The sequence below is a fragment of the Homo sapiens genome, chromosome 3 (genome assembly GCF_000001405.40).
Source record: "Homo sapiens chromosome 3, GRCh38.p14 Primary Assembly".
NCBI classification, from domain to species: Eukaryota; Metazoa; Chordata; class Mammalia; order Primates; family Hominidae; genus Homo; species Homo sapiens.
The window spans coordinates 121,487,076-121,512,585 of record NC_000003.12 but is presented as its reverse complement, the minus strand read 5'-3'; the positions used below and the strand labels follow the sequence as shown (position 1 = coordinate 121,512,585).

The 25,510-nt window shown below is 40.0% G+C and overlaps 1 protein-coding gene and 1 pseudogene across 1 annotated transcript in view; one reads left to right on the top strand and one right to left on the bottom strand.

Annotated features, from left to right (window-relative positions):
- The window catches only part of POLQ (DNA polymerase theta), a 114,558-nt gene that overhangs the window by 33,403 nt on the left and 55,645 nt on the right, over positions 1–25,510 (top strand). The window contains exons 10-16 of the mRNA NM_199420.4: positions 557–699; positions 2,343–2,547; positions 2,883–3,025; positions 13,916–14,109; positions 15,654–15,778; positions 18,865–19,108; positions 22,178–25,284. Coding sequence (NP_955452.3) covers positions 557–699; positions 2,343–2,547; positions 2,883–3,025; positions 13,916–14,109; positions 15,654–15,778; positions 18,865–19,108; positions 22,178–25,284 — 4,161 coding nt within the window. The remainder of the gene's footprint in view (positions 1–556; positions 700–2,342; positions 2,548–2,882; positions 3,026–13,915; positions 14,110–15,653; positions 15,779–18,864; positions 19,109–22,177; positions 25,285–25,510) is intronic.
- Positions 17,623–18,499, bottom strand: RPL7AP11 (ribosomal protein L7a pseudogene 11; annotated as a pseudogene).

Here is a 25,510-nt window from a genome sequence, read left to right as displayed (position 1 = left end):
TAACCTGGGGTCTTATATAACATTTTAACAATGGGCAGTAAATTGTGGAGAAGCAACAAGAAAAAGGAAAAGGTATCTGGGCTTCTAGGGGCAACAAATTGTGAGAAGGTAAATATATGGGGCAAACTAATGGAAGATAGAAGTTATTTTAGTAGGTAGAGTTTGTTTGTGCAGACCCATCTCAGTGCTGACCTGTCTCCAGTGATAAGGGTTGTTGTCCTGTGTGGGAGAGGGAATGGAAAACATCATCACAAAGGGAAAAATTTATTCTTGCTTTTAGGCAGATAGGGAGAGGACAAAGAGTTCTTTCTGTGTTTGCTGCTTCCCAATGGCCTTCAGCTCAAAATAATCCTTATGCTGAAGTGGCATATTTTGGAGTGGCATATTCTGATCCCCTTCTGTCCAAAGTTCAAAAAATAGCCATAATTTTATTACCATAACAACCACTATCATCTCTTGTCTGCTTTTAAGCAAAGTAAGGCAACTTAAAATCTCTTTAGCAGATATCTTATGGAACTATATTGGGATTTTGCAAATGTGTATCTTTTGGTTATAGGCGAGAGTATCTTAATTTGTAAGAACTCTGAGAAATCAAAAGGCATAGCTCTCCTTCAGGGTTCTCTAAAGCCTGTTCGCAGCTGTCTGCAAAGACGAGAAGGAGAAGAAGTAACTGGCAGCATGATACGAGCTATTCTGGAGGTAAGAGAGAATTTACTAAATTACCATTTGCTCTTTTATGCCTAAATTAGTAAAATGTTAGTATATGAAAATCTTAGCTTTATTTATTTATTTTTTTTAATTTATTTTTGAGACAGAGTCTCACTCTGTTACCCAGGCCGGAGTACAATGGCATGATCTCAGCTCACTGCAACCTCCGCCTCCCGGGTTCAAGCAATTCTCCTGCCCCAGCCTCCCGAGTAGCTGGGATTACAGGCACACACCATCATCCCTGGCTAATTTTTGTACTTTTAATAGAGATGGGATTTCACCATTTTGGCCAGGCTGGTCTTGAACCAGCCTTCAGGTGATCTGCCTGCCTTGGCCTCCCAAAGTGCTGGGATTACAGGTGTTAGCCACTGTGCCCGGTGCTTTATGTTTTTTTTGTTTTGTTTTTGAGATGGAGTCTCGCTGTGTTATCCAAAATTTCAGATGAATTTAATGATTCATTTCTTTTTCTTTCTTTGTTTTTGAGATGAAGTCTCGCTCTGTTGCCAGGCTGGAGTGCAGTGGTGCAATCTCAGCTCACTGCAACCTCTGGCTCCTGGGTTCAAGGAATTCTCGTGCCTCAGCCTCCTGAGTAGCTGGGACTACAGGTGCCTGCCACCACACCCAGTTAATTTTTTTTTTTTTTTTTTTTTTGGAGACGGAGTCTCGCTCTGTCACCCAGGCTGGAGTGCAGTGGTGCAATCTCGGCTCACTGCAAACTCCGCCTCCTGATTTCACACCATTCTCCTGCCTCAGCCTCCCGAGTAGTTGGGACTACAGGCGCCCGCCACCACGCCTGGCTTATTTTTGTATTTTCAGTAGAGATGGGGTTTCACCGTGTTAGCCAGGAAGGTTTCGATCTCCTGACCTCGTGATCCGCCTGCCTCGGCCTCCCAGAGTGCTGGGATTACGGGCGTGAGCTACTGCGCCTGGCTCACCCAGTTAATTTTTGTATTTTCAGTAGAGACGGAGTTTCACTGTGTTGGCCAGGATGGTCTTGATCTCCTGACCTCGTGATCTGCCCGCCTTGGCATCCCAAAGTGCTGGGATTACAGGCGTGAGCCACCGTGCCTGGCCCACTTATTTTTCTTTTTAAGAAAATATTTTATCTACTTTAAGGAGAACTTTTCTGTTGTCATTAGGTGTTACCAACAGTTACAGTGAGTGGTGATGGGAAAGTAAATAAAGAATCTCTACATTAAGATTCTAAGAACATTTAAAAAAATGAGAATGAAATAGCTTGCTTTATTTTATATTCAGAGGGCTTGCATGTTTTATTTATTTTTTTTTTTAATTGTTTTTTTGAGATGGAGTCTCGCTCTGTCGCCCAGGCTGGAGTGCAGTGGCGTGATCTTGGCTCACCGCAAGCTTCGCCTCTTGGGTTCATGCCATTCTCCTGCCTCAGCCTCCCAAGTAGCTGGGACTACAGGCGCCTGCCACCAGCCTGGCTAATTTTTTTGTATTTTTAGTAGAGACGGGGTTTCACCGTGTTAACCAGGATGGTCTCCATCTCCAGACCTCGTGATCCGCCCGCCTCGGACTCCCAAAGTGCTGGGATTACAGGCATGAGCCACCGCGCCCGGTGGCTTGCATGTTTTCTTAAAAAGCTACAGAAATTTCCAAATATCTTCTTTCAGATAATAGTTGGTGGAGTGGCAAGTACATCACAAGATATGCATACTTATGCTGCCTGCACATTTTTGGCTGCAAGTATGAAAGAAGGGAAGCAAGGAATTCAGAGAAATCAAGAGTCTGTTCAGCTTGGAGCGATTGAGGCCTGTGTGATGTGGCTACTAGAAAATGAATTCATCCAGAGTACAGAAGCCAGTGATGGAACAGAAGGTAAGTGTGACTTCTCAGTTGCAATTTACTCACTTTTTCTTCTTTAGTGAGGTTGTATGACTGCTCAGTGAATGGAAATTGTCTTTTCATGTAGTATAAAAGGAATTTGATTTTTTGAGCAGTGTATCAACTCATTTTTAGTAAATCAGTATTGTATTTAGCAACTTCAGACCATTATGATAGAGCCTGCTCATACATTTTCATGCTCTGGATAAGGTACTATTTGTAAAATTTATCAGCCGGGAGGGTTAGCATGGAAAACAGAAAGATAGTATTTTGTTTTATTTTATTTTGAATGTTTGTTCCTCTGTTTCCTCACCCTAACCCTAAACCAGGAAAGGTGTATCATCCAACACATCTTGGTTCGGCCACTCTTTCTTCTTCACTTTCTCCAGCTGATACTTTAGATATTTTTGCTGACCTGCAAAGAGCAATGAAGGGCTTTGTTTTAGAGAATGATCTTCATATTCTCTATCTGGTAAGTTCTGTTTTAACAATTATGTTTGTGAAAATAGGGAGAAAAAAATAGATATATAATCCTGAACATCAAAGATACCCTAACAGAACATCTCGTCTGTTTTCCATGCCTAGGTTAGTACTGGTGGGAATAGAGAAGAGGTAAGAAGATAATTGTTTTAAAGTAATAATCTAAATGTTCTAGTTACCTTTAAATTTATTTTCTCCAACCTCCTTTCAAAAAAGATTTGAGTTGTTTTATAAAAAATATATATTTTTACAACGTATAAAAGAACAGCAAAGAAAAATGGGATATCAGAAAATTAAAGATCGGATCATGATGTAAAACTCAAGCAAAGGTCAGTACACAAACATGCGTGCCATTAAGTCATGTCCAATGCTGTTGTCAACTTTGATTCTGGGTTTTCTAGCAACTAAAAGAAAGAGGAAAGCTTGATTAGTGTTAATATTCATAAGATAAAAAACAAAACAAGTTTAGGAAAAACATTGCATTTCCCTGCCTAAGAGAAATTTAGTCCTAAAAGGATACTTTGGAACTTAACATTGTTTGATAAAAATCTCTATAATAAATGCAATAAGGAATTTTAAGTTTGTTTATATTAGACAATGCTCTGTGAATATTATTTTGTATAACAAAGATATTAATAAGAATTGGATAGTGTTTAAGGTCATGTTCTCTGGCAAGAACCTGATCAGAAATAATTAATTTTGTCAGTTAAGAGCAGATGCATGCATTTTGATAAGCAAGTGATAAGGGGAGGTGAGTAAAATTGAAATTCTCATTAGAATGAAGGGGGCTTATCAGGAAATGTGTTTCAATAAAAATCGCTATGTAGTGAGCAGAGGGGAAATGTCTAGACAGTACCAATTTTCTTTTATTACAAACTCGCATAATACATGGGTGATAATAGGCTCAAAGGTCTGTGCCCAAGAATGTGGCTGGGAGGAATCTCAAAGCAGGTTTCACCGGTCATCTATCATGGCCTTAAAAATAAGTCATTTATTATACAGTGGCTGAGATTGTGGGCTCTAGGATCAGACTGCCTTAGTTCAACTTTTGGCCTCATCACTTAGTAATCATATAACCTTGGGTAAGTATTTAACCTCTCTTACGATTCCATTTCCTCATTTGTAAAATGGAGATAATAATACCCACCTCAGGGCTGATAGTCTTTGATGAATGTTTGGTATCTGAATAAATGTTTAATAACATCTATTATTTCTAGTAAATTCTCCCATAAACATTATGTAAGTCATTTGCCAAATTACCTAACTACTCCTACTCCTGTTCCCTCTCTAAAACGTGAAGACTGTTGGCAGTGTTAGTATGCTGAATGCTTGTGGTTAGTGGTCTTGTATACTTCTCTCACCATTCGAGTTGTATGCCCTTCAAGAGTTAGTTGTGTTCCCAAACTTGTTCATGTCAGTTTGCTTCTGAGAAAATTAGGCTGAGGCAGAAGGATCACCTGAGTCCAGGAATTTGAGACCAGCATGGGAAACAGAGCAAGAATCTGTCGCTACCAAACAAAAAAAAAAAAAAAAAAATTGTGTATGGTGGTGCATGCCGGTAATCCCAGCTACTTGGAAGGCTGAGACAGAAGAATCACTTGAGCCCAGGAGTTCTAGGTTATAGTGAGCTATGATCGTGCCACCATGCTCCAGCCTTGGTGACAGCAAGAGACCTCGTGTCTTAAAAACAAGCAAAAAAATATAAGTGAGATAACTGAAAGCTCTGAGAAAAAGTTATAGGAATTTAGACAGGGAGGAAACTAAAAGGACACTGCTCAAAGTTTATTTTGCAGTTATCTTTAATTTTTATTTATTTATTTATTTTTTGAGTAGAGTCTCACTCTGTTGCCCAGGCTGGAGTGCAGTGGCACAGTCTTGGCTCATTGCAACCTCTGCCTCCCAGGTTCAAGCGATTCTTCTGCCTTAGCCTCCTGAGTAGCTGGGACTACAGGTGCATGCCACCACACCTGGCTAATTTTTGTATTTTTAGTAGAGACAGAGTTTTACCATGTTGGCCAGGCTGGTCTTGAAGTCCTGACCTCAAGTGATCCACCCTCCTCGGCCTCCCAAAGTGCTGGGATTACAGGTGTGAGCCATTGCACCCAGCCAATGATTATCTTTAATATCTAACTTCACATTACAAAACAGAAACTGGATTTCTTAGACAATATATTGTGGTTATGGTTTAAGAAAGCCATGGTAAATTCTAATCAACAGACTCATGCTCAAAAGGCCTTGACCCCTAGCTCAAAGCATTGGCAATTAAAATACATTTATGTTTTAAGTTAGACAAAACATTTAGTGTTTGCATGTACTATTTTATATTTTGAATATATAAAACATTTCTGTGATTCAAAAGTCAGAACTATATAAACAGGAATAGTCAGAGAAGTCTGACTCCTATATCCATCCCTTCCATGCCTTTTCCACCTACCTTTCATAGATGACTGTTTTCATTCATTTTTTAATGTATCTCTTCTCTTTTTTAATTTTACAGAAATTATCAGACATACATATCCTTCACCTTTTTTATACAGAGGGTAGCATGCTGTATACATTATACCTTTTTTTTTCTTAACAGTGTATCTTGGAAATCACTTCATATCAATTCATTTTTTATTCTTTTTTATAACCTATAATTCTGTCGTGTAGGTGGATGTACCGTTGTTTATTCTATCAGTTCCCTATTGATGGACATTTGGATCATTTTCAATATTTTCTTGTGGCAAATTATGCTTCAGTAAGTAACATGGTACACACAGTGTTTAGTTTTTATGGAGGTGTATCTTTAGGAAAGACTGAAATGTAAAACCATAAGTGATTTTGGTAAAATGTAAAACCAAAGAGTGAAATGTAAAACCATAAGTGATTTTGGTTTTGCAAAGTTGACCTCTGTAGAGTTTGTATCACTTTCCTGTTTTACCAGAGATATATTAGAGTAGTTGTTTTTTCACAGCTTCACAAGTAGAGAGTATATGGTCAAACTTTTGTATTTTTGAGTGTAGTTTTAGTTTACATTTTTTTACATTATGAGTAAATTTGAACATTTTCCCCATTTATATAAAATGTCCAGAATGGCAGTCTATAGAAACAAAAAGTACCTTTAGTGCATTAGTAGTTACCCAGGGCTGGGGGAATGTGAGGAGGTTGGATGAAAATGGAGAGTGATTGCTAATGGGTACAGGGCTCCCCACCTCCCTCCCCAGTGAATTGTCCATGTCTTTTGCTCATTGTTCTGTTGTGTGTGTGTTTTTTTGTTTTTGTTTTTGTTTTGTTTTGTTTTTAGTTTTAAAGGTTTTTTTATATATTAGGGAGATTGGTGCTTTGTGGTATAAGTAGAATGATTTTCCTCTTGATTTTTCACTTGTCTTTTGACTTTGCTTATTGTATGTTTTGTCTAGTAGTTGAATATATGGACTTTTGAATTAGTGAGAAATTTTTTTTGCTCTGAAATTATTAAGGAATTCACCCACATTTTCTTCAAGTAATTGTATAGTTGTGATCCCCCTATTTTTTTTTTTTTTTTTTTTGAGATGGAGTTTCGCTCTTGTCACCCAGGCTGGAGTGCAATGGTGCAATCTCGGCTCACTGCAACCTCCGCCTCCTGGGTTCAAGCGATTCTCCTGCCTCAGCCTCCTGAGTAGCTGGGATTACAGACATGCGCCATCACACCTGGCTAATTTTGTATTTTTTTTTTTTTTTTTTTAGTAGAGATGGGGTTTCTCCATATTGGTCAGGCTGGTCTTGAACTTCTAACCTCAGGTGATCCACCTGCCTTGGCCTCCCAAAGTGCTGGGATTACAGGCATGAGCCACTGTGCCTGGCCTGCCCCTATTTTGAGCTCTGCTTCATTTGGAGTGTATTCTAGTACATGGTTCTTCAGTTTCATGTTTTTTTCATAATGGCTATCTGTAATCTCAGCATCATTTATTAAAAAATTCATTTATACAATGACTCAAGATGGCAACTTTTATCTTCTGTATTTCCATTTGTATTTGGGTACATTTCTAATTCCATTTGTCATTGTGTATATTCCTGTTTCACTTGTTAGTCTGACAAAAGACCAGTTTGACTGATTTTTGTGCCAGTGCCTCTGTTTTAATTAAAAACTTTCTGGTAGGGCAAGTTTCCCTTCATTGCTCTGCTTTTCAGTGTTCATAGCTATTCTTTTTGGCTTACTGTATTAGTCCATTCTCACACTGCTATAAAGAAATTATGGAGACTGGGATATTTATAAAGAAAAGAGGTTTAATTGGCTCATGATTCTGCAGGCTGTACAGGAAGCACAGTGGCTTCTGCTTCTGGGGAGGCCTCAGAAAGCTTCCAATCATGGCAGAAAGTGAAGGGGAAGCAGGCACATCTTATATGGCCAGAGCAAGAGGAAGAGAGTGAGAGAGAGGCGGGAAGTGCCACTTACTTTTAAACAACCAGATCTCACGAGAACTCTCCATTGCAACGACAGCACCAAGTGGGGTGGTGTTAAACCATAAGAAACGGTCTTCATGATCCAGTCACCTGCCACCAGGCACTATCTCCAGCATTGGAGATTATATTTCAACATGAAATTCGGTGGGGACACATATCTATACTATATAAATCTACACTTGGGCCCCTAAATCTCATGACCTTCTCACATTCCAAAATACAATCATCCCTTCCCAACAGTCCCCCGGAGTCTTAACTCATTGCATCATTAACTCAGAAGTCCAAAGTCTCATCTGAGAGAAGGCTAGTGCTTTCCACTGATGAGCCTGTGAAATAAAAAAACTAAGTTAGTTACTCCCAAGATGCAATGGGGTTACAGGCATTGGATAAATACTTCCATTCCAAAAGGGAGTATCTGACTTGGTTAGGTTGTATAATCCTTTTTATGTTGCTGGATTTGGTTTGCTGGTATTTTATTGCTAGTATTTTATTTGGTTTGCTAGTATTTTTGTCATAAGATATATTGACCTGTAGTTCTGTTTTCTCGTGATGTCTTTGTGTGGTTTTGGAGTAATACTAACTGCACAGTATGATTTAGGATATATTTCTTCCTCTTCTGTTTCTTTTGAAGAATTTGTTAAAGATTGCTATTAATTGTTATTTAAATGTTTAGTAGATTTCACCAGTCAAGCCACTTGGGCCTGGGCTTTACTTTGGAGTAAATGTTTTGATGATGAATTTAATCTTTTTACTTTTTATAACTATTCAGAGTTTCGATTTTTTCTTCAATCGGTTTTGGTAGTTTGTGTATTTCCAGAAAATAGTCCACGTAGATTATCTAATTTGTTGGCATTTACTTGTTCATAGTATTCCCTTATAATCCTTTTTATTTATGTGAGGATGGTGGGGTTGGTTCCTCTTTCATTCCTGATTTTAGTAATTTGAATCTTCCTGCATCATTTCTTGATCAGTCCAGCTAAATATTTTTCAATTTTGTTTTCTTTTCATTCTTTCAGCGGATCATCTGAGGTCAGGTGTTCGAGACCAGCCTGGCCAACATGGTGAAACCCTGTCTGTACTAAAAATACAAAATTACAAAATACAAAAATTAGCTGGGCATGGTGGCACTCGCCTGTAATCCCAGCTACTCAGGAGGCTGAGGCAGAAGAATCACCTGAACCTGGGAGGCAGAGGTTGCAGTGAGCCGAGATTATGCCACTGCACTCCAGCCTGGGTGACAGAGTGAGACTCCATCTCAAAAAAATTTTTTTCTGTACTGAACATACAGTTTATTTTGTCATTATTCCCTAAACAATACAGTATATCAGCTATTTACGTAGTATTTATGTGGTATTAGGTATTATAATTACGCTAGATGATTACTCTGTATATGGCAGGATGTGCATAGGTTATATACAGACACTATCATTTTATATCAGAGACTTGAGCATCCATGGATTTTGTTATCTGCAGGAGGTCCTGGAACCAGTCCCCCACAGATAACAAGAGACAGCTATACATTTTGCTATGGTTTGGTGGAGTTCTATAGATGTCTCTTAGGTCTAATTGACTTAGAATGTTATTTTAGTCTTCTATTTCCTTTTGATTTTCTTAGTAGTTCTATTCATTGTTGAAAGTCGGGTATTGAAGTTTTCAACTACAGTCGGTATTCTCAGGGAATTTGTTCCCCTGTACCTCTTTTACTGCTCTTTTTTGAATGAAGGGAATATATTCTAGTATAGTCATTATTGCTTAAGGACAGTGATACATTCTGAGAATTGCATCTTTAGCTAATTTCATTGTTGTGTGAATATTACAGAGTGTGCTTACACAAATGTAGATGGTATAGCCTGCTACACACCTAGGATATATGGTATAACCTTACTGCTTCTAGGCTACAAACTTGTTTGGCATGTTACTCTACTGAGTACTGTAGGCAGTTGTAATACAATGGTAAGTATTTGTGTATCTAGACATTTCTAAACATAGAAAAGGTAATGCAACATGCTAGATATTTGATGACTATGATGTCACTAGGCAATATTAATTTTTCAGCTCCATTATAATCTTATGGGACTGCTGTCATATATGCAGTTTGTCATTGACCAAAAATGTCATTATGCAGCACAAAACACTATAACATTTTAATTTTGTACATTTTTCTCTATATTTTTTGCCATTTTTTTTTTTAGTGTTTACTCAAGGGTTTATCAGGTACAGCTTAAAATTTATACTAACTTAATTGCAGTGAAATAAAGAAGTATTCTTAAATAACTCTATTTTGATTCCTTTTTTTGTGCCATTGTTATACTTATTACATCATTATGTGTTGCAAACCTAACAGTACGTTGTTATACTTAGTATTTTATGTAATTTAATGTTTTTAGAGAAGCTGAGAGAAGAAAGGAGAGCAAATATACATTTACAGAGTTTGCTTCATTAACATTCTTATTTATGATTGTGTTTTTTTTCTTCATTTATTTCTATGGATTTGGGACACCATCTCTTGTCATTTCCTTAGTCCAGTACAGCTTTGCTTCCACCTGCCTCCTGTGGGCTGATACTGTCAAATATATTGTGAATTTTATATGTTATGGACCCAACAATTCAATTATATGCATATTGGCAGGTTGTAGTGGCTCATGCCTGTAATCTCAGCACTTCGGTAGGCTGAGGCGGGTGGACCACTTGAGGTCAGGAGTTCAAGACCAGCCTGGTCATCATGGTGAGGCCCCATCTTTACTAAAAATACAAAAATGAGCTGGGTGTGGTGGTGCATACCTGTAATTCTAGCTACTCAGGAGGCTGAAGCACAAGAATCACTTGAACCTGGGAGGTAGAGGTTGCAGTGAGCTGAGATTGTGTCCAGCCTGGGCAACTGAGTGAGACCCTGTCTCAAACAAACTAACAAACAAACCCAATACAGTACAAAAATATGCATATTGTTTTATAAGTTGCCTTTTAAATCAGTCAGGAGAAGAAAAGAGAAATATGTAATGATACTGTTTTTATATGTACCCACATAATTTCCTTTGTTGACTTTCTTTTTTTGGTTTGGAATTGAAATATGGTTTTGGTGAGTTTCTTTCAACCTGAAGAGCTTTCTTTAGTATTTCTTTGCTTTTTTTTTTTTTTTTGGAGACAGAGTCTCATTCTGTTGCCCAGGCTGGAGTGCGGTGGTGCAGTCTCTGCTCACTGCAACCTCCGCCTCCCAGGTTCAAGCAATTCTCATGCCTCAGCCTCCCGAGTCCCTGGGATTACAGGCATGCGCCACCACTCCTGGGTAATTTTTTTTTGTATTTTTAGTAGAGACAGGGTTTCGCCATGTTGACCAGGCTAGTCTTGAACTCCTGACCTCAAGTGATCCAAACCCCGCCCACCCAGCCTCCCAAAGTTCTGGGATTACAGGCATGAGCCGCTGCGCCTGGCTAGCATTTCTTTTTTTTTTTTTTTTTTTTTTTTTTTTGAGACGGAGTCTCGCTCTGTCGCCCAGGCTGGAGTGCAGTGGCGGGATCTCGGCTCACTGCAAGCTCCGCCTCCCGGGTTCACGCCATTCTCCTCCTGCCTCAGCCTCCCAAGTAGCTGGGACTACAGGCGCCCGCCACTACGCCCAGCTAATTTTTTGTATTTTTAGTAGAGACGGGGTTTCACCGTTTTAGCCGGGATGGTCTCGATCTCCTGACCTCGTGATCCGCCCGCCTCGGCCTCCCAAAGTGCTGGGATTACAGGCGTGAGCCACCGCGCCCGGCCTAGCATTTCTTATAAAATGGATTTGCTAGCAAAATTTTCTCGGGTTTTGTTTATCTGGAAATGTTTGTTATTTTTATTTTTGAAAAATAACTCTCCTTTATATAATATTCTTAGTTGAGGCTGGGCGTGGTAGCTCATGCCTGTAATCCCAGCACTTTGGGAGGCTGAGGCAGGTAGATGGCTTGAGCCTAGAAGTTTGAGACCAGCAACATGGTGAAACTCTGTCTTTACCAGAAAAATACAAAAATTAGCCAGGTGTGGTGGTATGCATCTGTAGTCCCAGCTACCTGGGAGGCTGAGGTGGGAGGATGGCTTCCGCCCAGGAGGTGGAGGTTGCAGTGAGCTGAGATCGTGCCACTGCACTCCAGCCAGGGTGACAGAGCCAGACCCTGTTTCAAAAGAAAAAACAATGTTTAGTTGACAGATTTTTTTTTCTTTGAGCAGTTTGAATATGTCATCTCACTGCATTTAGAATATGTCATCTCACTGGCCTTCTTGTTGCTGGTGAGAAGTTAGCTCTTAACCTTATCAGGTTTCTCTTACATAGGATGACTTTTTCTTGCTGTTTTCAAGATTTTTTTTCTTCAGTTTTAATGTTTTGACTGTGATGCGTCTTTGTATGGATGCCTTTGTATGTATCCTGCTTGGAGTTCACTGAGTTTCTTGGATATGTAGGTTAATGTTGTCCATCAAATTTGGAATACTTTTAGCCATAATTTCTTCAGATGATTTTCCTTTTCCTTTCTATCTTCTCCTGGTACTCATTATGCATATGTTGGTACACTTAATGTTTCCCATATTCCTTTAAGACTCTGTTCATTTTTTCTGCTTTCTCCTCTCCCTCTTTCAGATTGCATAGTCTTTATTAATCTATTCATGTTTGCTGATTCTTTCTTATGCCAGCTTGGATATACTGTTGATCTCTCTAGTAAATTATCCATTTTAGGTCCAGGTTTGGTGGCTCACGCCTTTAATCCTAGCACTTTGGAAGGCCAAGGCCAAGGCAGGAGTGTTATTTGAGTTCAAGAATTCAAGACCAACCTGGGCAACATAATAAACCCCATTTTAGTTACTGCACTTTTTTTTTTTTTTTTTTTTTGAGACATATTCTTGCTCTGTTGCCCAAACAAGAGTACAGTGGCACAATTACGGCTCACTGCAGCCTTGACCTGGGCTCAAGCAGTCTTCCCACTTCAGCCTCCCAAGTAGCTGGGACCACAGGCATGTGCCATCATCCCTGGCTAATTTTTGTATTTTTTTGTAGAGACAGTGTTTCACCATGTTGCCCATGCTGATCTCAAACTCCTGAGCTCAAGTGGTCCTCCCCTCTCAGCCTCCCAAAGTGCTGGCTTTATAGGCATGAGCCACTGTGCCTGGCCAGTTATTGTACTTTTAACTCCAGAATTTTCATTTGGTTCTTTTAAAAATAATTTTGTCTTTATTGTATTCTCTACTTAATGAGACATTGGCATCATGCCTTTTACTTCAAGCATGGTTTTTGTTTTTGTTTTTACCATATTTATAATATTTGCTTTGAAGTCTTTACTTATTTCAATAGCTGGACCCTCTCAAAGGTATTTCTTTTTATTTCTTTTGCCTGCTTTTCCCCCTGTGTTTGAGACATACTTTCCTATTTCTTATATGTTTCATAATTTTTGTTGAATCTTGACATTTTGGGTAATATATCAACTCTGAATATTGATTCTTCCCTTATCTCCTCTATGTTATTGATTCTTTCTTGAAAATTACTCAGAATACTTAAGATTGTACCTACAGTTAGAATATTGATATTAGAAGTGTCTATAATTAAAAACTTAGGTTCTGGCCGGGCGCAGTGGCTGATGCCTGTAATCCCAGCATTTTGAGAGTCTGAGGCAGGAGAATTGCTTGAGGCCAGGAGTCTGAGACCAACCTGGGCAACAGAATAAAACCCAGTTTCACCAAAAAAATTTAAAAATTAGGCAGACGTGGTGGCACTCACCTTGTAGCCCCAGCTACTTGGGAGGCTGACTTGGGAGGATTGCTTGAGCACAGGAGGTTGAAGCTTCAGTGAACTAGATCCCAGCCTGGATGATAGAACAAGACCTTGTCTCAAAAAAAAAAAAAAAAAGACTTGGGTTCTATAAAATCCAGTTTGTATGCTTAGTGATCTCTTTCCATTTGTCCTGGCAGTGCATTGTTTGTGAATAAATGATGTTTCCATATGAATGAGGTATTATCACAGTTAGACATTTTTGTAAATCCTGAGGCCTTTGTCTTTTTATTTTAAGTAATTTTATTTTATTGTAATTTTTTTTGAGATGGAGTCTTGCTCTGTTGCCCAGGCTGGAGTGATGTGGCACAGTCATAGCTTACTGCAGCCTCAAACTCCTGGGCTCAAGCGATCCTCCTGCCTTGGCCTCCTACAGCATTGGGATTACAGGCATGAACCACCACAGTCAGCCATTTTATTTATTTTATTTTATTTCATTTTTTTAGAGACAGAGTCTCACCTGGTCAGTTGAGCTAGAGTGCAGTGGCACAGTCATAGCTCACTGTGGCCTCAAACTTTTGGGTTCAAGCAATCTTTCCATCTCAGCCTTCTGAGTAGCTAGGACTACAGGCACATACCATCATGCCTGGCTTTTGTCTTTAATATGAAGGTTGTATATAATGGTTTTTTGTAATATAATAGTTTTAGTTAATGAATAATACTTCTTCCTTTTAGGTTACACCTATGTTTGAGGATTGGACTACTATTGATTGGTATCGATTTTTCTGTTTATGGGAGAAGTTGCCAACTTCAATGAAAAGGGTGGCAGAGCTAGTGGGAGTTGAAGAGGGGTTCTTGGCCCGTTGTGTGAAAGGAAAAGTAGTAGCCAGAACTGAGAGACAGCATCGACAAATGGCCATCCATAAAAGGTAAACGTCAAGGTCTCTGGGCTCTCCGGTATTTAACACAGTGTCTTGCATGTAGTAGACGCCCAGTTTATTGTAGTCACTTTCATTGTCAATAAAATCAAAATTTTGGCAGAGTATAAGATTTTTCAGTTTTCTTTTTTTTCATTTTCTTTTTTTTTTTAATTTTGAAATGGAGTTTTGTTCTTGTTGCCCAGGCTGGAGTGCAATAGCGCGATCTCAGCTCACCGCAACCTCCGCCTCCCAGGTTCAAGCGATTCTGCTGCCTCAGCCTCCTGAGTAGCTGGGATTACAGGCATGTGCCACCATGCCTGGCTCATTTTATATTTTTAATAGAGATGGGGTTTCTCCATGTTGGTCAGGCTGGTCTTAAACTCCTGACCTCAGGTGATCCACCCGCCTCCGCCTCCCAAAGTGCTGGGATTACAGGCGTGAGCCACCACACCCAACAAGTTTTCTGTATTTACTAAATTTATTGGTATTTTAGTTTCTTTCTGCAGCTCACAGTTTAGCAGCCATTATATATAAAGACCTTATCTTTTAAGGTAGAATATTTAATTACCTCTCTTTTGTAAAGAAGGTGTTGATCAGAAGAACCACCAACTTACTGTGACTTCACCTGGGGTTATGCTTTATATCATACTTAAAAGTGATTCATTACCAATAGAGGAGAAGAGCTAATTAAAAGATTCAGGTGGAAAAATTGGTACAGGCTGTTAGCTTCTTTGAAATATAATGAAATTGGCTGGGTGCAGTGGCTCATGCCTGTAATCCCAGCACTTTGGGAGGCCAAAGTGGGCGGATCACTTGAGGTCAGGAGTTTGAGACCAGCCTGGCCAATGTGGTAAAACCCTGTCTCTAGTAAAAATACAAAAATTAGCCGTTTGTGGTGGTGTGCACCTGTAATCCCAGCTACTTGGGAGGCTGAGGTGGGGGAATTGCTTGAACCCAGGAGATGGAGGTTGCAGTGAGCCAAGATTGCGCCACTGCACTCCAGCCTGGGCAACACAGTGAGACTCCGTCTCAAAAAAAAAGAAATAATAATGAAATGATTTTTCTTAAAAAACAGTCTCTAATATATTATTTATAATATGGTTAAGTATAAATTTTATATACTTGGATTTATATACTTGGATTACTTTTGCTACCGTTGCCTTTCAAATCAAAATTGGATGCTATATTTATATTGTCATTTTATTGGAGTAATGATATACATGTAGCTGTATATCAAGTTATCTTTTTAATTTTTGTGTCATCACATTTCTTGAACCAAGTCTCATTTCTTGTTAGCAGCAGTTTTGAATATGGGCAGGTTTTTGTTATACAGACATTAGTTCTTTACTATAGTACTAATGCATGTCAAAACTTGCTTTGCAAGCATTGATCTCAGCCTTTGTCCAGTAATCCTATTTTCTATTAAGAATCTCACCACAATGTATTATATAAGCCCTCTGTTGCCTTTCCAGTTCTTAGTCATTTTTCAACACACTGTATCGCCTAGTAGACGTGAAGGATCTCTTACCACGCTTTTGATGATTTATTCCCAGGTTTTTCACCAGTCTTGTGCTATTAGATTTAATCAGTGAAGTTCCCTTAAGGGAAATAAATCAGAAATATGGATGCAATCGTGGGCAGATTCAATCTTTGCAACAGTCAGCTGCTGTTTATGCAGGTCAGTTAAACAAAGGGTTTCACATTTATTTAATACTGTGATTTGAGGTCGAGTTAAGATTACTTTTTTTTTCAAATTCCATTTTATTGTAGGCTTCTTTAAAAGTGCTAAAACTTTGTACAGTTCTTGTCATCATCAGAAAATTCAAAACTATGGCTCCTCAGGGCTCAGTACCATGTTACAGAGGATTGGTAACTAGCTGAATGTCTTGGCCTCTATTCCTTAGCAACCTGCTGACTATCCTCCTTTCTGTTTTCCTTTTCTTTTTCCTGTTGCAAGAAGAAACAGAAACAAAGTTCTCTGTGGTCTCCCCTTTCTCATTAAGGTACTGATTGCCGGGCGCGGTGGCTCATGCCTGTAATCCCAGCACTTTGGGAGGCCGAGTCGGGTGGATCACGAGGTCAGGAGTTCAAGACCAGCCTGGCCAAGATGGTGAAACCCCATCTCTACTGAAAATACAAAAAATTAGCCAGGTGTGGCGGTGGGCGCTTATAATCCCAGCTACTGGGGAGGCTGAGGCAGAGAATTGCTTGAACCCGGGAGGCAGAGGTTGCAGTGAGCTGAGATCGCACCACTGCACTCTAGCCTGGGTGACAGAGCGAGACTCTGTCTCAAAAAAAAAAAAAGGTACTGATTAATCCATATTGTTGAGGAGAAGGACGGAAGATGGAGAGGGATTTCTGAACTCCTGTCTGACTGTTATAAAAATGATCTAAGGAACCACTGGTCTGCCTTAATGTATTAAACCCTAAGCAAACGAGAAATTCTGGGTCTGATTTTACTAAGGAATCCTTACAAGCCCTTAAGAAGGAAACTATGGGCTACAAGAGGGTGTGTTATATGTATAATAGGTTTCATCGTGAAGATATGTGCTTATGAGGGAGTACTGCGGGGAAGATGAGAAGAGATAGTGGTAGGAAGGGAGGCACTCACTCTTTTTTTTTTTTTTTTTTTTTTTTGAGACAGAGTCTTGCTCTGTCTCCCAGGCTGGAGTGCAGTGGCGCCATCTCGGCTCACTGAAAGCTCTGCCTCCCAGGTTAATGCCATTCTGCTGCCTCAGCCTCCCGAGTAGCTGGGACTACAGGTGCCCGGCACCACGCCCGGCTAATTTTTTTTTTTGTATTTTTAGTGGAGATGGGGTTCCACTGTGTTAGCCAGGATGGTCTCGATCTCCTGACCTCGTGGACCACCCGCCTCGGCCTCCTAAAGTACTGGGATTACAGGTATAAGCCACCCGCGCCCGGCCGGGAGGGACTCACTCTTAGACTCACTGGTATCAAAGATGAAAGACTGCCTCTAGGGGTTTATGTTCTTGTAGGGAAGTGTAACAAAATTTTAATTCAACAAATGTCTTTATGACATGGCACTTGTTTTGGTTTCTTTATTCCAAGACAGTGCAGCTATTGAGCTCAGCAACCTTTCTTTGAAGAAAATGCAGGTGGGAACTTCACTCTTTCTAGTTCTCTCAGCACTTGAATATTTAAACCAACTCTTGTTTTCCTCTAGGTGGAAAGAGTCCCTTACTTTTTTTTTTTTGAGATGGAGTTTCTCTCTTGTTGCCCAGGCTGGAGTGCAATGGCACGATCTCGGCTCACCACAACCCCCGCCTCCCAAGTTCAAGTGGTTCTCCTGCCTCAGCCTCCCGAGGAACTGGGATTACAGGCATGCACCGCCATGCCTGGCTAATTTTGTATTTTTAGTAGAGATGGGGTTTCTCCATGTTGGTCAGGCTGGTCTCAAAGTCCTGACCTCAGATGATCTGCTCGACTTGGCCTTCCAAAGTGCTGGGATTACAGGCGTGAGCCACTGCGCCCAGCATCTTTACATGCTTTTTTTTTTTTTTTGAAAATTTGTATTATTTTAATTATTTTTATATACAGAAAACTCAACAGTGTACATTTAACCCAGTTTAGTGGCAAGTTCTTTAGCCTTTGCCTTTTCGAGCTTGGTGATACGAGCCACAGACTTAGGACCCAGGACGTTGCCGCCCCAGTGACGGTGGGTCTCATCCTATCTGTCGTTGTAATTGGTCCTGATAACTTCCACCAGCTTAGCCAAAGTGCCTTTGTCTTCCGAGTTCACCTGTGTGAAGGCGACAGTGGTGCAGGTCTTCCTGTGGACTAGACGTCCCAGTCTTGCCTTCCCCTTGGTAATGCAGTAAGGGACCCCCATTTTACGACACAGGGCAGGCAAGAAGACAGCCAGCTTGATGGGATCCGCGTTGTGTGCAATCACCACCAGCTGAGCTTTCTTGTTCTCCACCAAGGTGGTGACGGTGTTAACTCCTGTTCGAAGGACAGGTGGTCTCTTGGTGGGGACGTCCCCTCTGCCAGCAGCTTTCTTCTTGGCCCAGGCCAACAGCCTCTGCTTCTTCTCTTGCCTTGACTCTGGTCTGTACTTGTGGGCCAGCTTAAGCAGCTGAGTAGCTGTTTGGCGGTCCAGGGCCTGGGTGAACTGGTTAATCGCAGGAGGCACTTTCAGCCGCTTATAGAGGATGGCTCTCTGCCGCTGCAACCTGATATAGCGGGGCCGTTTCACAAAGCGGGTGAGGTCTCTTTTGGGCTGGATGTCCTGTCCAGTGCCAAAATTCTTAGGCCTTTTCACAAACGGGATTCACCACTTTCTTAGCCTCCTGCTTCTTCACGACAGCAGGGGCCGGAGCCACCTTCGTTCCCTTGGCCTTCTTTCCTTTCGGCATCTTGGGTGGCGGGAAGAGAGAGACCTTTACATGTTTTTAAGAGTTCTCTTTTGCTTAAGAAAGAGAGAGAGAGAGGAATGAATTAGGGTGAGGGCTTCTTGTTTGTTTTGTGTTTATGTGCTCTGCCTCAGTTTTCATGTATTAACTTGAGGATTAAGAATAAATAAGATGACATTTAATGTCATCTCATAAAACTTAGCACATTTATTGTCCAATTAGTTAAGGCTCTTAATATATATCTGCTCCCTTGTTAACTTACACCTTGGGCCTTGTTAAATCTTACAATTTTGCAGGGAAAAAACAAAAGAAAATATAAATACATCTAAAGAAATGGAGAATTCGTCTGTAAAAAAAATTGAATTCAACAAATATTCTATGAATGTTCTAGGGATGATTACAGTATTTTCCAACCGTCTGGGCTGGCACAACATGGAACTACTACTTTCCCAATTTCAGAAGCGTCTTACGTTTGGCATCCAGAGGGAGCTGTGTGACCTGGTTCGGGTATCCTTACTAAATGCTCAGAGAGCCAGGGTTCTCTATGCTTCTGGCTTTCATACTGTGGCAGACCTTGCTAGAGCAAATATTGTGGAGGTGGAGGTGATTCTGAAAAATGCTGTGCCTTTCAAAAGGTAAGAAAATACCTTTACCTACATGGGCTTATGAAATAAAAAAAAAATGTCAATTTTAAAATAATAGATAATGTATTAAAGTTATTTTTCTCTTAAATAATCTTATTATATACTTGGTGTAAGTGGAAGAAAATATGGCTACTTTTTCCCCATTGCAGATTACTTTTTTTTTTTTGAGATGAAGTCTCACTCTTGTTACCCAGGCTGGAGTGCAATGGTGCGATCTCGGCTCACTGCGACCTCCACCTCCTGGGTTCAAGCGATTCTCCTGCCTCAGCCTCCTGAGTAGCTGGGATTATAGGCACCCACCACCAGGCCCAGCTAATTTTTGTATTTTTAGTAGAGACAGGGTTTCACCATGTTGGCCAGGCTGGTCTTGAACTCCTGACCTCAGCCAATCCCCCTGCCTCAGCCTCCCAAAGTGCTGGGATTATAGGCGTGAGCCAAAGTGCCCGGCTGCAGATTACTTTTTATTTTGTATATTTAAAAAATAATACATGACTTAAAAACATTCCTGCTAGAACGTCTGAGTGGGGCTGGGCACAGTGACTCACTCCTGTAATCCCAGTACTTTGGGAGGCTGAGGCTGATTGTTTGAGCTTAGGAGTTCAAGACTAGCCTGAGCAACATAGCAAGATCTCATCGCTACTAAAACTGAAAAAAAAAAAAAAAAAAATAGCTGGGCATGGTGGCATGTGCCTATAGTCCCAGCTACTTGGGGATGTGAGGCTGGAGAGTTGGTTGAGCCCGGGAGGTCGAGGCTGCAGTGAGCCCTGATAGTGCCACTGAACTCCAGCCTGGGTGACAGAGTAAGATCGTGTCTCAAAAAAAAAAAAAAAAGTACTGAGCAAAAGTTTGGTATCAATGCTTTCTGCTTTGCTAAATTTTGATTTTGATCTGCTTTGATGGATTTTGATAATTTTGATGTGATTTCATTATATATCTCAGGCTCATCTTACACTTTAGGCAAGAGCATTTTAAAATACATTCCTCTGAAATGTTCTTTGGAATGCTAGTGTCCCTCAAAACAATTTGTGAGAAGATTCCTTGATTATTTTTTTGTGTGTATGTCTGAATAACCAATTTATTGAATGGGCTAGACTCAGTATATAAATCAAGGAATAGCTTAATTATTTTTTCTACCACTGTTTTTTGAACTCAGTCTTATATGAAATCTCAGGCAGATTCTATAGGTATTTAGTTACTTTCAGGTACTAACAACCAGTTTTATTTTCAGGTATTAAACAATTTGTTTTAGATGGAAGCATCAATCTCATTTCCAATTAGTGTTTCTTCCCTCCCACTCACTTTAAACCTGACTCCCAGCTCTGAGACCTTAACCTGTGTGGGAAGGGATGGGGTATAGTATTTTACTATCCTCTTTGCTCTTGCATATCTCTTGCCCATGGAAGACAATTTTTCCACAGACCGGGGGTGGAGGTGGGGGTAGGGGGGTGGTGGAGATGGTTTGGTTTTAGGATGAAACAAAACAATTAGATTCTCATAAGGAGCACGCAACCTAGATTCCTTGCATGTACAATTCACAGTAGGGTTTCCTGCAGCTGATCTGACAGGAGGCGGAGCTCAGGCAGCAATGCTCCCTTGCCTGTAGCTCACCTCCTGCTGTGCGGCCCAGTTCCTAACAGGCCATGGACTGGTACTGGTCTGCATCTCGGGGGTTGAGGACCCCTGGTTTAGACTTTTAACTGGCCACTTGGAATCTGTCCACACTTGCACGGTTTAGAGGTCAGTGAGAGATTTGGGCAGAGTTTATATGAAGAATTACGAGTTGTTCCTCTCTAGTTATCTGTTCTAGACTGCCTTAAATTTCCAACTAATGTAGTTACTCTTAACTCTCTTCTGACTTCTGTCAATCAGTGAACTCCAGGTTGTTATCTAAGTTTTTAGCCAACCTACAGGGTGCTGACTGGGCCCTGCCTTCAGGTAAAAAGTGAAAATTAACCCACTGCCATTTTCTTTCTTCCAAGTCTCAACCCCACTCCAATTTCTGCTTTCTTTTGTTCATTTTCTAGTCCCTTCATATATTTTGCCCAGAGTTTATATTGTGTATTGTACAGAAGCATTCGTTTTCTTTCTTGTCTTGTCTTTTTTTTTTTTTTTTTTTTTTTTTGTGACAGTCTCGCTCTGTCGCCCTGGAGTGCAATGGCGTAATCTCGGCTCACTGCAACCTCTGCGTCCTGGGTTCAAGCAATTCTTCTGTCTTAGCCTCCCAAGTAGCTGGGACTACAGGCACATGTCACCACACCCGGCCAATTTTTGTATTTTTAGTAGAGAAAGAGTTTTACCATATTGGTCAGGCTGGTCTTGAACTCCTGACCTCAGGTGATCTACCCACCTTGGCCTCCCAAAGTGCTGGGATTACAGGCATGAGCCACTGCGCACAGCCTTTTAAAAAATTTTTTTAATGAGACAGGGTCCTGTTCTGTCACCCTGGCTGGAGTGCAGTGGTGTGATCTTGTCTCACTGTAACGCCTCCTGGGTTCGAGTGATTCTCATGCCTCAGCCTCCCAAGCAGCTGTAATTACAGGTACCCGCTACCATGCCTGGCTGATTTTTTGTATTTTTAGTAGAGACAGTGTTTCACCATGTTGGCCAGGCTGGTCTCGAACTCGTTGCCTCAAGTGATTCGCCTTCCTTGGTCTCCCAAAGTGCTGGGTTTACAAGTGTGAGCTACCGCGCCCGGCCGGATGTTTTTCAATGAAAGTTTTATGGCTTTCACTTTTTTAAAGGCTTCTACTTAAAGAATCTGTCTTAGTGAAGCCTTCCTTTATTATGCCATTTAAAAACTACAGAACCACCCACCACCCCTTTCTGGTGCCTTATTTTTGTATACAACTCTTATCACCAGGTAATATAGAATGCATTTTAAACTTTTTGTTTATTTTCTGAATTCCCCAGCTAGAATGTGCCATGAGAGCAGATACATTTCTCTCTCTTCTTCATTGTTATTTTTTCAGTTCCTGGTAACAGCTCAGATTGCATGTTTAATAAATACTTGCCTTACGAATGAATGAATTCATTTCTGTCTTTTCCCATCTCCTTGTGTAGTGCCCGGAAGGCAGTGGATGAGGAAGAGGAAGCAGTTGAAGAACGTCGCAATATGCGAACTATCTGGGTGACTGGCAGAAAAGGTTTAACTGAAAGGGAAGCAGCAGCCCTTATAGTGGAAGAAGCCAGAATGATTCTGCAGCAGGACTTAGTTGAAATGGGAGTGCAATGGAATCCATGTGCCCTGTTACATTCTAGTACATGCTCATTGACTCATAGTGAGTCCGAAGTAAAGGAACACACATTTATATCCCAAACTAAGAGTTCTTATAAAAAATTAACATCAAAGAACAAAAGTAACACAATATTTAGTGATTCTTATATTAAGCATTCACCAAATATAGTGCAAGACTTAAATAAAAGTAGAGAGCATACAAGTTCCTTTAATTGTAATTTCCAGAATGGGAATCAAGAACATCAGACATGTTCCATTTTCAGAGCAAGAAAACGGGCCTCTTTAGATATAAATAAAGAGAAGCCAGGAGCCTCTCAGAATGAGGGGAAAACAAGTGATAAGAAAGTTGTTCAGACTTTTTCACAGAAAACAAAAAAGGCACCTTTGAATTTCAATTCAGAAAAGATGAGCAGAAGTTTTCGATCTTGGAAACGTAGAAAGCATCTAAAGCGATCTAGGGACAGCAGCCCCCTGAAAGACTCTGGAGCGTGTAGAATCCATTTACAAGGACAGACTCTGTCTAATCCTAGTCTTTGTGAAGACCCGTTTACCTTAGATGAGAAGAAAACGGAATTTAGAAATTCAGGGCCATTTGCTAAAAATGTATCTTTGAGTGGTAAGGAAAAAGATAATAAAACATCATTCCCATTACAAATAAAGCAAAATTGTTCATGGAACATAACACTAACTAATGATAATTTTGTGGAGCATATTGTCACAGGATCTCAGAGTAAAAATGTGACTTGTCAGGCCACTAGTGTGGTTAGTGAAAAGGGCAGAGGAGTAGCTGTTGAGGCAGAAAAAATAAATGAAGTGCTGATACAAAATGGTTCAAAAAACCAGAATGTTTATATGAAACACCATGACATCCATCCAATTAACCAGTACCTGCGAAAGCAATCTCATGAACAGACAAGCACTATTACCAAACAGAAAAATATAATAGAGAGACAAATGCCCTGTGAAGCAGTCAGTAGTTACATAAATAGAGACTCAAATGTTACTATCAATTGTGAAAGGATAAAGCTTAATACAGAGGAAAATAAACCAAGTCATTTTCAGGCATTAGGAGATGATATAAGCAGAACTGTGATACCCAGTGAAGTACTTCCATCAGCTGGAGCATTTAGCAAATCAGAAGGCCAGCATGAGAATTTTCTAAATATTTCTAGACTACAAGAAAAAACAGGTACTTATACAACAAACAAAACTAAAAATAATCATGTTTCTGACTTAGGTTTAGTCCTCTGTGATTTTGAAGATAGTTTCTATCTGGATACTCAGTCAGAGAAAATAATACAACAGATGGCAACTGAAAATGCCAAACTAGGAGCAAAGGACACCAACCTGGCAGCAGGGATAATGCAGAAGAGCTTAGTCCAACAGAACTCAATGAACTCTTTTCAGAAGGAGTGTCACATTCCTTTTCCTGCTGAACAGCACCCTCTAGGAGCGACTAAGATAGATCATTTGGACCTTAAGACTGTAGGTACTATGAAACAAAGCAGTGATTCACATGGGGTTGATATCCTGACTCCAGAAAGCCCGATTTTCCATTCTCCAATACTATTGGAGGAAAATGGTCTTTTTTTAAAAAAGAATGAAGTTTCTGTTACTGATTCACAATTAAATAGTTTTCTTCAAGGTTATCAAACACAAGAAACTGTGAAACCAGTTATACTTCTGATTCCTCAAAAGAGAACTCCCACTGGTGTAGAAGGAGAATGTCTTCCAGTTCCTGAAACAAGTTTGAATATGAGTGATAGTTTACTATTTGATAGCTTCAGTGATGACTATCTAGTAAAAGAACAATTACCTGATATGCAAATGAAAGAACCCCTTCCTTCAGAAGTAACATCAAACCATTTTAGTGATTCTCTGTGTCTACAAGAAGACCTAATTAAAAAATCAAATGTAAATGAGAATCAAGATACCCACCAGCAGTTGACTTGTTCCAATGATGAATCTATTATATTTTCAGAAATGGATTCTGTTCAGATGGTTGAAGCTTTGGACAATGTGGATATATTTCCTGTCCAAGAGAAGAATCATACTGTAGTATCTCCTAGAGCATTAGAACTAAGTGATCCAGTACTTGATGAGCACCACCAAGGTGATCAAGATGGAGGAGATCAAGATGAAAGGGCTGAAAAATCAAAATTAACTGGGACCAGGCAAAATCATTCATTCATATGGTCAGGGGCATCATTTGATCTAAGTCCAGGACTGCAAAGGATTTTAGATAAAGTATCCAGTCCTCTAGAAAATGAAAAGCTAAAATCAATGACTATAAACTTTTCCAGTTTGAATAGAAAAAATACAGAGTTAAATGAAGAACAAGAAGTTATTTCAAACTTGGAGACAAAACAAGTGCAGGGAATTTCATTTTCTTCTAATAATGAAGTAAAAAGCAAGATTGAGATGCTAGAAAACAATGCCAATCATGATGAAACCTCATCCCTCTTACCTCGTAAAGAAAGTAATATAGTTGATGATAATGGTCTCATTCCTCCTACACCCATTCCAACATCTGCTTCTAAGCTGACATTTCCAGGGATTCTTGAAACACCTGTAAACCCTTGGAAAACTAATAATGTTTTACAACCTGGTGAAAGTTATTTATTTGGCTCACCTTCAGATATTAAAAACCACGATTTAAGTCCAGGGAGTAGAAATGGGTTCAAAGACAACAGCCCTATTAGTGACACAAGCTTTTCACTTCAGTTATCACAGGATGGATTACAGTTAACTCCAGCCTCAAGCAGTTCAGAAAGTTTGTCCATAATTGATGTAGCAAGTGACCAAAATCTTTTCCAAACATTCATTAAGGAGTGGCGGTGCAAAAAGCGATTTTCCATCTCACTGGCTTGTGAAAAGATTAGAAGTTTGACATCTTCTAAAACTGCTACTATTGGCAGTAGGTTTAAGCAAGGTAAGAATTTTTTTAATTTTATTTTTTCATATTTATAAACTACTTAGTAGACTGAGATAAGAGTTAGATTTCTCAATGTTAGATATTAAATATAATCTATTCAAGTTGTAGTATGTATCTCCTCTGTGGATTTATGTGTAGAACAGCCTTATTTATTCAGCATACCTAAATTAATTAATGATAGTTGCCCTCCAGTATAAGAGGTGCATGTAATATATATTAGAAT